Source organism: Homo sapiens, chromosome 3 (assembly GCF_000001405.40).
Source record: "Homo sapiens chromosome 3, GRCh38.p14 Primary Assembly".
NCBI classification, from domain to species: Eukaryota; Metazoa; Chordata; class Mammalia; order Primates; family Hominidae; genus Homo; species Homo sapiens.
In genome coordinates, this window is record NC_000003.12 from 177103391 (window position 1) to 177118473 (window position 15083).

General features: G+C 37.1%; 1 protein-coding gene across 14 annotated transcripts in view; it reads right to left on the bottom strand.

Annotated features, from left to right (window-relative positions):
• The window catches only part of TBL1XR1 (TBL1X/Y related 1), a 182457-nt gene that overhangs the window by 84047 nt on the left and 83327 nt on the right, over window positions 1–15083 (bottom strand). The window contains exon 2 of one of the 14 annotated variants that reach the window (XM_047448941.1): window positions 4656–7497. The exons of the other annotated variants lie outside the window; for them this stretch is intronic. Coding sequence (XP_047304897.1) covers window positions 4656–4676 — 21 coding nt within the window. The 5' untranslated portion in view covers window positions 4677–7497. The remainder of the gene's footprint in view (window positions 1–4655; window positions 7498–15083) is intronic. 14 annotated transcript variants of the gene reach the window in all.

The following is a 15083-nucleotide window of genomic DNA, read 5'->3' on the forward strand; positions in this document are numbered from 1 at the left end:
AGCTTTGCTTCCAAAAATGTATTTCAGAGCATTTTATCTAAAGTAAACGAAGTATTAATTTTAGATAAGGCTTACAGCATAGAAAGACACTGTTGACTTAGCAGACATCTTCTAAGATCTGCCACCTACACACAATTAGGAAGTTTTTTTAACATGGAAAAATTCTAAAGAAAAGCAAATGATATATTTTGACTGTTCTTCAAAAATACTACATTGCAGTCTCTAGAAGTAAATTTATTTAATTTATAGATAACTTTGAAAAGCTAATGGACATTATGGGCCCTTTTCCTAGACAAAGGTACAAACACAATAAAAACTTATTATTTAAGGTAGCAACACACTCTAATCTAGAACCTAGTGGTCAGTAACAAGTTCAAGGAAGTATATCTGGTATCCTTAAAAAATAAAATTATTTTGTTTTAATGTACAGAATTTGGGAAAGTCACCCCATGAATTAAGAGAAAAATATAATCCCAGCACTTTGGAAGGCCAAGGCAGGGAGATCACTTGAGGTCAGAAGGTTAAGACCAGCCTGGCAAACATGGAGAAACCTCATCTCTAATGAAAATACAAAAATTAGCCAGGTATGGTGGCAGATGCCTGTAATCCCAGCTACTCGGGAGGCTGAGGCAGGAGAATCACTTGAACCCAGGAGGCAGAGGTTGCAGTGAGCTGAGATCACATCACTGCATTCCAGCCTGGGTGACAGAGCGAGACTCGGTCTCCAAAAAAAAAAAAAAGAGAGAGAGAGAAATATATAAGAATTCTACCAGAATTGACCCTGCTTAGAAAGATTTTTATTAAATTAACTCCCAGGAAAAGTCACAGAAAAAGTTCAAATTAAATTGCTTAGCACATGATTGAAAGCACAATTAAGAAAGAAACAAAAACAGTATTACCTCCTAATGGAACAATTAAATATATACATATTTGTAAATCAGAGTTTCAACTGAATCTTCTTAATCCGTTTTACAAAAAGGAATGTTAGTATGTTATCTCCAACAACATACTACGCATACGTCAAAGCCTCTAAGCATTACATCCTCCACTGTCCTCACCCGATCCTCATTTCCCATGGAATTACACATACAGATAATATTCTAGACAGCCAGAAGGTAAGGCAGGTGAAAAGCAGAAGGAGCTATAACAGCAGGGATATCTTAAGTGACTCTGAGATCAGACTCACTGTCAGATCACGCACAGCTTTGCAATTACTGCCTATGTTTTCATTTCCCATTGTTACTTAAGCGATTAGGGGAAAAATGATTCAAAAGTTATCTGACACCAATTTTTAAAAATAAGCTATTCTCAAGACCACATACTCACATAAAAAGAAAACAATTTAAACATGCACTGGTGTCTAATCACCTAATTACTACCTTAGTTGAATTAGTTTCACTGGTAACATCACATGTCATTGAATTTTATGTTAAGATTATACAAAAATAAACTATTGTGCAAGAATAAAACAAAAAACTCTCAAGTATTTCTAAATTTTTCTGTCACAGGGTAAGCAATGCAATTAAAGACAACAGCACAAACTCTCTTACAATGACCCACAGAGTTCTTAAAATTAAAGGTTGGTTTGAACAGTTTCTAATGCTAACATAAGTCAAGTGTATTACTTAGGCACTAACGCCTATGCATCAAAAGCTTCCGGTTCACAAACCTTCAGTGATAGGGATTTTGAACATGAGAAAAAGCTTACACTCCAAATTTACGGATACTTGAAAACTAATATAAAAATGTATCTATGATTTTAAGTTATTTTTTCTTTAAAGTGAGTAGAGCATTAATGTGTAACTATAACTGTTTTCCCCAAAATGTTATTAAATTAATGGTGTAACTTACAGTGCCTTTGAAATACGACAGATATGACACTGTTTTCTTGTTTACATAAAGTTTGATAGCTGCTAAACCCTTTGTTAAAAAAGCAGTTTGGAAGAAAGAAACAAGTGTGGGGGGCCGAAGGAGGGGTGGACCAGTAGAAACAGCAACGAAGATCTAAGAAATAATATGAAGGGGGGATATCAAGCTTTGTTGCCTAAGACCACACAGGTGGGTACACTGGCACTTAAGTTAGAAAAGAAAACTGACATTCCTACATCTTAATAGATTTCTCACTCTTCCTAAGGTTTGAATATCTGATTCAAGGTATTAAGAATCTGAATAGCTAATTAGGCTACAACACACAAATCATTCAGTTGAACACATTTCCAATAGAAATGAGAATGGCTCTGCCAAGAAGACTGTCTTTGATTAGCTCTGTCCTACAGAAATGCCCCAGATTAGAACCTAACTATGACGTGGTGAGCCCCTCACTCAGATGTAATTGGTCTAGGGTAGGATCTACATCACTTGCATTTAAAATCCTCCCCACCCACCCCGTGTCAGTGTGTGGGTGTGTGTGTGCATGTGTGTGATTCCAATGGGGACTGAGAACCACTGGGTGGGGGTGGGAAGGGAAGGGACAGGATGGAGAATTTTACTAGTCAGGTCTAATTATTAACCTAAGGCAGGAGAGTCGCTTCTTTCAAATACTAAATTGCAAAGTGAGAGGTGTTCAGAACTAGAGGGAGAAATATGTTAATACTACATCGGACTAAATTAAGTGGTTTATTAATCTAATTTTAAGATTAATGATGACAAACAAAAGATAAACTCAATCTGTCTCCCAAAAATGAACAGAAAAGTAAGGACAATGATAATGAAGACACCATAAACAGAAAGGGGCCTAAAAAGACTTCAAAACATAATAACAAAAAAAAGAAGAAAATGCATAAAAAACACATAAAGCCCAAATGAGCCTCAGCTATGTGTGACAAAATTTTAAGTAGTAGGCAGAAGTTATAGAAAGGTATTTTTTTCCTATTCAATATAAAGGGAAACCATCGCGCAAATCAATGACAATGTTCAAACAAAATCTGGATATGTGATTCATCAAGGAAGTTCTAGTGGGCACTTAGGCAAATGAGCTGAAGTTTGTTCTACGTGCGCCCCATCCCTTTCTAACTTAGCACTCAAGTGTATTATCAGCGCCAGCACTAGCTTCTGCAGTACCTTTGTGCAAATTAGACTCTAGCAAAATAAATTACAAAAAGGAAGCCACGTGGTATCGGAGGTTAAGAGCCTGGAATTGTGGAGCCACACAGGTGGGTTTGGACTCCCTGGCTCTGACTCTTAGTAACTAGATAACCTCTCTCAGTGCCTTCGCTTTTTCATCTGTAAAATAAGTTAGGAGAGTGGAATAAAAAGTGCTAATCAGTGCCTAGCATAGTAATAAGACATAATGCATATTAAATAACAGAAATAAATTGTTATAAAGGAAGCTCCTTCCTCTGTGAAGACAGTCCGCTAACAGGGAAACAGCTTGGCCTGGATTTCAGTGCCCACTTTTCCCTTGGCTGTGTACCTCTGTGCAGGACACAAACTGCCCATTCAGATTCTGCCGTCCTGTGTGCTACTAAGGCTATTGAATCCAGGTACATTATGTCTTTTAGTGAATTAACACAACAGCATTACTACTAAAAAAAAAAATTATCATTTATAAAACTTTTTAATTACAACAGATTTGGAATATGCCCACAGTAGTCATCCTGACTAGCATAACCTCACAGTGATAATGAACACCTTCTAAATGAAGCAGTTCTTCAAACACTCTTCACAACTAAACAGCTTCAATTTTTACTTTGTAATAGAATGCAATAGGCCTCTTTAAAAAAAAAATTAAGAATATGTCAGCGGATAATTACTAAACTGAAAACTGTCATTCTGAAGTGCTTTGGACACACAAAAAATATACACACTTACATTAAACTAGATATTAGGTTCAGAATTCTGAAATGTTATGTTTCTATTTATCCACTACTGATGAACTCAAAGAGTCGCTCTTATGTGTCCTTACAGAAAACATTTCCTTACAGATTCACGTGAAAAAAAGTTTTCAAATTGGTTTCTTTAATTTCATATTTTGAAAGTTGGCATAATCTAGACAGTATCAGCAAATGCTTTTCCTTCAGTAAATTAAAACAAATATTTCATTTAACTACCACATTCCAATCAAAATAGCTGCCAGAAATACATTCATTTATGAAATCAAGGTTGTATGGGGGTTTTTTTAGTGGAATATTCTTAATTCTGGAGAATGCCAAGTTCTCATCCGGTGTTGGTTTGCCAAAATGCTTTCAATTTAACTTGTTCACCAAACTTAAAATGATACATTCGAACCAGCAAACACAAGCTGTGTTATCTGCCTGACCCATTCAAGGAGCCACTTCTGGTTCACACACACATAGATACACCATCCGGGGATCATGAAACGAAACTACCTTTCTTAAGATCTCATATATTATATATATTTCAATACAGAAAACTCCTCTCTGTGCCCAGCACCCAAGTTACGATAATAAAACACCAACTGAGATTATCTGAATACAACTACTCCATCTTACTTCTCAGTCATTGGCACGCAATGGTCTAAGGCAAACTATGGCCAGTTAGCAGATATTTTTTTATTTTGCAGGCCATTTGGTCTCTGTCACTACTACTCAACTCTGCTATTATACAGCAAAGTAGCCACAGACAATACATTAAAAAATGAATGGGCATTACTCTTTCTAATAAAACTTTATTCAAAAAAAAAAAAGATAACACACCAGATATGGTCCACAGGTCATAGTTTGTTGACTCTGAAGCAATTCCCAGAACCATCCAAATTTCTACAGATCCAGGATAAAGCAAAGAAGCTTTTAGGTTAAATGAGGTAAACATTTTTTTAAATCAAATAAATTAACAGACCAAGCAAAAACACTTACTATTTAAACACTGCCTACTAAAAATATATAACCATTCTATGAAAAGGAAATTTTCTAAGGAATTCAAACATAGTATCTTATGTGGCCCTATATATAATAATGAAGTTCATTAAGAAAATTATAAGTATTAAACTTCAACATTCCTCTGCCATCTTTAGAAACTTAAAAGACAGTGGGGGTAAGAATGGAAAGAATAAGGCTTTCTGTTCTGTTTAAAAACTCAGCTCTTTCACATCATATCCATACAACTGTAAGCAAGCCCTCAGTGTCTTCATCTATATAGTGTATTAGACAGCTTGATAACAAGTATGAACATAGTGTTTGGCTTATTGTAAAGAAAATAAACTAGGATTTATAATCCTATTGAATGCCTAAAGGCATTTTCGCACAGAAGTAATACTAATATCAGTTAATTATAACTGCATGTATAGTTTAAAAGGGAGCAAAAAGGTTAAAAATAGTATAGTATTAAAAGAACAAAAAGAATCAACTCCCTAAGCAAAAAAATTGTTTGAATTATGAATTTCCATGAGTTTAAAAAATACTAATGGTATTTTTATTAATGCAAACAACAAAGAAACAGACAATAAAGACACTGGGCTAGCTGAGACTGGTCCTGGAAATGCGTCCTCTTTGCCAGAGCAAATAGAAGGAAGGAAGAAACAGAAAACACTGGCCATAAGTTGTGGCAATACTAGCTAATGTTCACCAAGCAGCGATGAGAAGAAATGTTATGCCCATCTTAAAAATTAACAGAAAATGAGCTTGCATTTTAGCTTTTTGATGGGATAAGGATATCTGGATACCAAAAATCACTTCTATAATAGAGATGAAAATGTTATTGTCAAACATGTTTTCTTTTCACATTTTCTAACAATCCTAAATCATAATCTAATTCACAGATAAATATGGGGAAAAAACAAGTAAATTGTATATTTGTAATTAATTTTTAAAAACAAGTTAATATATAAACAAAATTACATTTAAAATTGTCAATTTCATACCTTTTCCCAATTTTTTAATTGAACATAAACTGAATATGAAAGCAACCAAACATTCAATCAGAAACAAAGAACCTGCACACTAAATGAACTCTCTCCATTAGAAATGCATTAGTTACTCAAGAAAATACAAACTATCAAGCAAGTCCCCTTTAAGAGAATAGGAAGAAATGTAATTTAAAGCCTATGTTTACCTCCAAGACTAAACAGAAGGTTGTTTTGTTTTTGTATTTTGGGATGATTGTAAGATTTGTCCTGCAGTAGACAACAGAACTATGGGAAGAAAGAAGAGGTGGGGAAAGAAAGGAAGAAGGAAGAAAAAACAAATTGTAATTAACCTTTCTACTAGAGATTGTTAACATTAAAAGTTAGCCCTTTACATCGAGTTACTATTAATTCACCCACTGGGGACAAAACTTACTAAAATACATCAGTAAATAAAACACAGATCCCTGCTCTCTCACAGTTTAAATTCCAGCAGAATTTTGATTAATAAGTAATGTTACAATCATAAATGCTATGAAAAAAGAAAAAGTCCAAGCAGGGTAAAGGGATTCAGAAGTTGGGGGGAAGAGAGGTGAAAGAGGAACCCCTGGGTTGCAATATTAAAGTAGGATGGTCAGAGCCAGAGTTGGTTTGTATTTCAATTGAGAGACAGCAAGATACTCAGGAAGCTTCCTGTATGCTCGATGTTCTGTGTACAGACAATGATGTATGAAGACGTGCCTTATATCTTGGTGTTGTCCGCTTACTACTGGAAGGCATACCTAGAACACTTCCTTATTCACAAAATACGTCATTTATGTTTTAGTTACTCTAATTTTTTCTCTGCAGTATCGATTTGTGCCTGATGCCTCCTATATATTGTGAAGCTACAACTCCTAGGAGACCTATCAGGCATTATAATTGACATGTTGTATATGCAGGCCATGATAAAAGCTATGAAATGCTAAAGAGAAGATGTGCCAAATCAAAGAAATTCTTAACTGTAACCCAGAGTCTATTCAGTCAAAATATTTTCAGACACACATTCTTACAAAATTAACATCAAAGAACTTCAAAGTTTTTCCAAGACACATGATACAGAAAAACAGAAAAATGTCACTAAAATAGAATGTCTAATGACTTAAGCCCTTCTACAGTTTAGGCAACAATTTGTAAATATCCAGCAAAGCTTACAATGTATCTAGGGCTATACACCCACCATTACGAATTTAAAATACCTGACTAGGGAAAAATAACAAAACACAAACCAGAACTTCTTTGCTTAAGAACACCTGGTCTTGGTTTTGTGGTTTTTTTTTCCCTACTGTGTTCACTATTCTTCAGCAGAAGACAAAGAGGAGGCAAAGGATAAATGTCTGTGAAAATGCATAAAGCTAGAACTATGAAGACACTAAGCTGAATTTTTTCAATACCTTCTATTGTAAATGCACAGGAATAAATGACAGTATGTCTGTGACTTATGCCTACTATTGTACCTAAAACACAATTCTAGATATGAATAAGAATTAAATGAGATGAGAGGAAGGAGTGGTCAGAACTTAATGAGAACGGGGGGGATATTTTGGGAAGCAGATAAGTGTGAGAACAAAAATCTTACCTCCTCTTCATGAGAGAAAAGAAGCCGGAAATTGTCTAAGGAATACTTCTTCTAGATAGGGTCCAGAAGAGGAAAATATCTTTCAAACAAAGAGGAAAAAAATGTGTTGTGTATGATTTTCACCCCCTTGATCTCACGTCAAGCAAATCAACAGTTGAAAGGAACTGCTCTAACAACTCAGACTCAACTAGACAAATTCACAAAACCTAAGTAGGCCACACCTGGCATGTGTTTACAGAGAAAGCTACAGGACAGGACAGGCTAGCAGGGCAGTATCACGCCAGGCACACAACAGGAGGACATGCAATCCAGGAGCTATTGTCTTTGCACCTCTCCCTACTATCATCACCATCACCATATCATTATTCAGGTAGGTATGCAAAGGGCAAAGAATCCACAAACGATACAAAAGTTACCCTGGGTTAGACACACCTGAGTTCCACTGAGAAACCACTATGATTGATTTTTTTTTTTTTTTTTTAAAGACAGAGCCTTTCTCTGTTGCCCAGACTGGAGTGCAGTGGCGCTATCTCGGCTCACTGCAACCTCTGCCTCCTGGGTTCAAGCGATTCACCTGCCTCAGCCTCCCGAGTAGCTGGGACTACAGGTGCATGCCACCATGCCAGGCTAATTTGGGTATTTTTAGTAGAGACAAAATAGCTGGGAGGATCGGTTGAGCCTGGGTTTCACCATGCTGGCCAGGCTGGTCTTGAACTCCTGACCTCAAGTTATTTGCCCATCTAGGCCACCCTAACTGCTGAGATTACAGGCTTCAGCCACTGCGCCAGGCCCACTATCATCTTATAAGCATCTCCTGGACATATCTTCCAGGGCACCCAATCCACGAAGGATATGCTGTTTTAAGAATGCATCACACCTTCCCAAACCAGGTGCAGTTCACGTGTCAGGAATCTCTTTGCCATACCCTATATGGTGGCTGTTAATATTGACATTTCACTTTAGATTTCAGATGAGTCAGAGCTAAACATTAAACCAAGGTCATTTATTCACAGAAAGAGAAACGGTTTAGGGAACCTTTTACAATGCACCTGGGTCCTCATCCCAACTCTGCCTGTAGGGTGCCAGTGGTCTTAGGCCTACAACTTAAGCCTCTTAAGACTCACCACCAACAAGCAATGACTGGGTTTATTGGATTGACTGCTAAGATCCTTTGAAGCCTTTTAAAAAATAAGAACTAGGCCCTGAAACGAAGAAGAAAATATCTCCTGCCTTCTAAGAAATAAGACAACAAAGATATAAAATCAAATATATATATATATATATATATATATATATATATTTTTTTTTTTTTTTTTTGTGAGGGGCTCTGACTCTGTTGCCGAGGCTGAAGTACAGTGGCACCACCTCGGCTCACTAAAACCTGCGTCTCCCGGGTTCAAGCAATTCTCCCACCTCAGCTTCCCAAGTAGCTGGGATTACAGGCGTCTGCCACTACGCTCAGCTAATTTTTGTATTTTTAGTAGAGGTGGGGTTTTGACACGTTGGCCAGGCTGGTCTAGAACTCCTAACCCCAGGTGATCCACCCACCTCAGCCTCCAAAAGTGCTGGGATTACAGGCACGAGCCACGGCCCCCGGCCTAAAGTATCATTTAAATAGCATGGAAAACTTGTTTTGATCATAGGACAGTTAAAGAAAAGCTGTCTCATTCAATCCCCTTTGTTTTATGCATACAGATTGAGATCGGAAATGGTTAAACATTCTTATCAGAGGTGATAAAATGAGTATTAAACTCTACATTGCTGGCACACTCAGTATCATTTAAATCTGACTATTTTGTACAGTACATAATATTGTCCGTTTTAAAAACAAGTAATTAGGTGCCCGGCCAAATTTCTACTTTTCAAGAAAAAGAAAAGTATGAGAACACTTTTTTGTGAAAGCCCTCAAAGACCTGCTGGGTGCGGTGGCTCACACCTGTAATCCCAACACTTTGGGAGGCTGAGGCGGGCGGATCACGAAGTCAGGAGTTCGAAACCAGCCTGGCCAACATGGTGAAACCCCGTCTCTACTAAAAATACAAAAATTAGTCGGGCGTGGTACCATGTGCCTGGAGTCGCAGCTACTCGGGAGGCTGAGGCAGGAGAATCGCTTGAATCTGAAAGGCGGAGGGAGGCAGAGGTTGCTGTGAGCAGAGATCGTGGCACTGCACTCCGATGAAGCAAGACTGTCTCAAAACACACACACACACACACACGGAATAGAATAGAGAGAACCCAAAAGTAAATCTACACATTTACAGTCAACTAATTTTTGACAAAGGTGCCAAGAACACACAGTGGGGAGAGAACAGTGTCTTCAATAAATGGTTTTGGGGAAACAGAATGAATATTCACATGTAGAAAAATGAAAGTAGACCCTTATCTTTCACCATATACAAAAATTAAACAAAAAAAATGGATTAAAGACTTAAGCATAAGACTCAAAACTAGAAAATTACTAAAAGAAAACTCAAGAGGAACACTTCCTGACAGCAATCTGGGCAAGGATTTTCTTTGGATAGGACCTCAAAAAGTACAAGCAACGAAAGCAAAAATAGACAAATGGGATTACATAAAACCAAAACCTTCTGCACAGCAAAGAAAGCAATAAACAGAGAAAAACAATAACCTACAGGAGAAAATATTTGCAAATTATGTATCTGACAAATAATATCTAAAAGAACTTAAGACAACTCAATAACAAAAAATCAAATAACCTAATATTTAAAATCGGCAAAATGGCCAGGCACAGTGGCTCATGCCTGTAATCTTAACATTTTAGAAGGTGAAGGCTGGAGAATCGCTTTAGGCCAGGAGTTTGTGACTAGCCTGGGCAACATATGGAGACCCCATCTCTATAAACAATTTAAAAATTAAATAAAAATAAATAAATGGCAAAAGACCTGAATAGACATTTCTCAAAAGACATGCAAATATCAACGGGTTTATGAAAGAATGTTCGACATCACTAATCATCAGGAAAATCAAAACCACAATGAAATATTATCTCACCCCAGTCAGTATGAACATTATCAAAAAGACAAAAGACAACAAGTGCTGCTGAGAATATGGAGAAAAGAGAATCCTTAACACACTGTTGGTGGCCATTACTGAAAATAATATGAAGGTTTCTAAAAAAAAATTTAAAACAGAAATAACCACCATATGATCCAGCAATCCCACTACTGGGTAAATGTTGGTCAAAGGATACATAATTACAGTTAGACAAAAAGAATAAACTTCAAGAGATCAATTATACAGCAATTTGACTAAAGTTAAAAATGGCATATTCTTGAAAAATGTAGAGTAGATGTTATGTGCTCTTACCACAAAATGGTAACTATGGGGTAATGCATTTATTAATTCACTAGATTCAACCATTCCTCTCTCTATATGTATACATACATCATATATATACATACACATCATATATATATACATCTCATATATATAATCATATATATATACACACATCATATATATGGATACATATATATGATATATGATATATATATGATAGGGTCTTGCTTTGTTGCCCAGGCTAGAGTACAGCAGTGTTATCATAGCTCACTGCAGCCTTGACCTCCACCTCCCCAACCCCAAGTTCAAAAGATCCTCTTGACTCAGCCTCCCAAGTAGCTGCCCAGCAAGACCAGCTAATTTTTAACTTTTTGTAGAGACGGGCCCTCACACTGTTGTCCAGGCTAGTCTTGAACTCCTGGGCTCAAGAGATCCTCCTGCCTTGGCCTCCTGAAGTGCTGGGATTACGGCATGAGCCACCACACCCAGCCAATATATGTATTTCAAAAGATTTGTGTTGCACATGACAAAAACATAATGTCGTATGTCACTTTTTTAAAATTAAAAAGAAAAAAAAAAAAGTTTGGCCAGATACGGTAGCTCACACCTCTAATCCCAGTGGTTTGGGACGCTGAGATGGGAAGATCGCTTAAGCCCAGGAGTTCGAGACAAGTCTGGGCAACACAGCAAGACCCCATCTCTATAAAAAAAATGTTAAAAATTAGCTGGGCAGGGTGGCATGCACTTGTAGTCCCAGCTACTTGGGAGGCTGAGGCAGGAGGACCCCTTGAGCCCAGGAGTTTGAGGTTGCAGTGAGCCATGATGACAGCTCTACACTCCAGCTTGGGCAACAGAGTAAGACCTTGTCACTTTGGGGAAAAAAATAATAATAATAATAATAATGATTTTTAATTAAAGTATCACTGTAAGGAGGAGTGAGGCGGTCTACATCCATATTGTCTTACTGCCACAGTGCCATGGGCAGGATGGACTCCATACAGTAAGGATCTTGGGCCCCCACCAGAGTACAGTGTAATGCCATCAACCAGTAAGTACACTTTTTAACCATCTACCTGACCCAGCTTCCAATTACTTTTGACCTATAGTATTTCATACAACTAACTACTTCCTGCAATACTATATGGATGTAACTGTTAAAAAAACTGATGATACTTTTAAAAATCAGGAACTTCACCTGATGGAGTCAGGTCAAATTTACTTAATAACATAATCAGTATTTATAAGAGAGACTGAAATTTTAAAATACATCATTTTTCTCCTTTTGGAAGTTTACCAAAAAGTCTTGGAAGGCACAAAAACACTAGTCATTATCATAGTCATATTGTGCTGCTTACTGCTATTCACTACCCAACCCAAAAGCCTGAGGGTCACACCCCTTTGCTCTGCCTCCTTTGTCCACCACAACCGCAAAATTTGGTCAATTCTTCCCCAAATCTCTCTATGCTGCCTACTGACCCCCCTTCAATCACACTATCCGTACGCCTCATTCCACTCTTTCCCCGCAACTTTGAGGTCTACAGCCCAAATTGTTTTTAATGCATCCCAAAATTTATAATTGAACATCATTGGATATCTAAAATTTAAGCTTTTGATTTTTTTAGTTTTGAAGCAAGAAGTAGTAATGGGTTTCTTTGTTGAGGCACTGCTTAATTAACTATTCATTTAACAACTCTTCAGATGCCTTCAGCCTCCTTGCTAACATAATTCTAATTTTCTTCAAAGCAGCAACAGGCCCAGATAAATACTTGCTTTCCTAACCTTTCTTGCAGCCAGAGGCAGCCATATTGATCAGTTCTGGCTGGTAAGGCCTCAGAAGTCCGCTAGGGAAGGAATGAGGAGGCCAGGGGAAGCTTTTGCTTTAATGAAAATAAAGAACAGGTGCAGCACTTCTTCCTGCTTAAATATGATGCCTCCTGCAGCAGTAGCCATTTTCCAACCCAGGCAATAAACCTGATGGAATTCATCACACTAAGGGCAATGGAATTTTGAAAAACAGTACCTTCCTGTCTCACAATTTGTTTAAAATGGTATTTTACTTACTTGAAACCAACTAGACATCATCATTCTCCCCCCAACCCATGTCACACAATGCATTGCAAATTTTCTATGTATAAATTTAATTCATCTCCCACCCCAAACTTGTTCCTCTTCTCGTATTTCCTACCTTGGTGGATGGCGCCACTTTCACCCAACTTGTCACCCAAACTAGAGATATGGCTCCTTCTCCTCCCTCATTTCCTGTAAGTAAGCACTAAGCACCATGACCTTCTATTTCTAGGATGCAACTTGACATGTGTATGTTTTTAGTTTCCCAAACTCCTCTTACATTAGCAGACTTTGGAAATGCTGTATCCTCTGGCTAAATTTTAGATCACTCACATCCTACTAACCATTGTGGATATCCATTTTACATGCCTGTCTCCCTTCACTAGAAGGTATGTATCTTGAAAGATGCCTTATCCAGCTTTGTAACTTGAATGCCGAGAACATATGGGATAGAATAAGAACTACAATAATACTGTTACTCTACCTTCCACTGAGAATCAAACAACAAGCTGGTTATTTAACCTCTCTAAACCTCAGTTTTCTCATCAGTAAAACAAGATTGTAATGGTATCTTCTCTCAGAGGAAAGTTATGTTAACTAAATGAGATAATGCATTATCAAGCACGTAATAGTACCTGGGAAATAAAAAGCACTTAATAAATGGTAGCTGTTGCTATTTTTCCTAGATTTTCTATATGATGGGAAACACTGAACTGTCCTTTACCAGAAGTACAAGATTTGCTGAAATAAACTGTCAATCCACCCAGTCTGAAAGTCCAGAATGCTTTATTTTCTGTGCTTAGGAACATTATGCAGTTTATCTTATAAAAACAACATGACCCGGTTTCTAAACACACTGCTATTGGCATTCCGAAAATGGGGTAACGATTCTAGAATAAATACTGAATATAAATGAGAAGGGAGAAAAAAGAATTTGCAGGAGTGGGTCAAGATTATGGCTTTGAAGAAATGATGCCCATTTTTAACTAACATCACAACCAATAATCTATAGTGGGTACTGGATTAATCAAATCTCCACTATTTAAACAAACATCAGTCTAGTATTATTATTCCTGTTCCCTGTCTTCCAAATAGTAGCTGCGAAGCAATGAAACTATTGCCTAGAATAGCAACACTGAATTCCTGGGAAAGATATTTTCAGCAACAGCAAATAATGGGTAAATTTAATAAGGCTTCCATTAAAGCCTGCTCCATAATTACACAGTATTTTAAAATAGTACCTTTATTTTGGTATTGAAAGTCATGCAGATTGCTGAATTATCTGCACAGTCTAAAATTTCCCTTTTAGATATGACATCAAAATAATGTTAAAACAGTCATAGAAAATACCAGTTTCCCATTCAGCGTAGTTCCTTATAGGCAGCATAAGCTCTCGGGTCTCCCAGATTGTTTGCTACACAGGGAAATCTAATGTGCTCTATAAATTCTATTAATATGCATCTTTTCTAGTGCAGTAATGAAAATGTTAACACTTTGATTCAGTCTTGACTTCAAATTCCACTAGTACAGTGACTAATCTTCTAATTTGAAAGAATTCAACAAATCTTACTTAGAGCTTTAATAAACTCTACTTCTATGCCACTGATTGGGAGAAATATAAAGTAAAACTGGCGATTTCTTTCCAAGGGCAAAGAAGCAGTATTAAAGAGCAGAATGGGTTCAATGGGAAGGAAAAAAGGTGAATGTCAACCAATAACCACTGAACATTCTGACCCCCTCAATTTGCTATTTTTATACTATGCAAGGTAGTAAGAAATCAGAAACCAGGAGTCTATCGTAGGTAGTAAGAAATCAGAAACCAGGAATCTAGGGCCAATGGCCATTTATAAATCTTTTATAGGTAGTATACGAATTGTGACTTTCTTTCTTTACCTCACCTACCATTTTATCCACTCTTCTCAGCCAGAGACTCAGGACATATTAGTAGAAAGCTCAAGCAATGACTACCCACATTCTAAGAAACTAGTTCTATTCCATGCGAATATAGAAGTTCCAGATCCCAGAGTCTGTTATTTCAAAATCACTCGATCTTTTCAAAGTCTCTAAAGAGTTCTTGAACATTCATTCATTCATTAACTCATTTAAGAGCCTATTTAAGGACAAGCACTGTGAACAAACAACTATACGTCTTTCATGCCCTCATCGCTGAGTAGCTTTAACATTGAGCCTAATGACTCAAAATGACCTAATGAGGCCCTTTTCTCATCAAAGCTAAAAGTGTGACCACGGTATTTTTATCCAAAGGCATGACTAGATTCCTGAAAACTTAAAATGCAG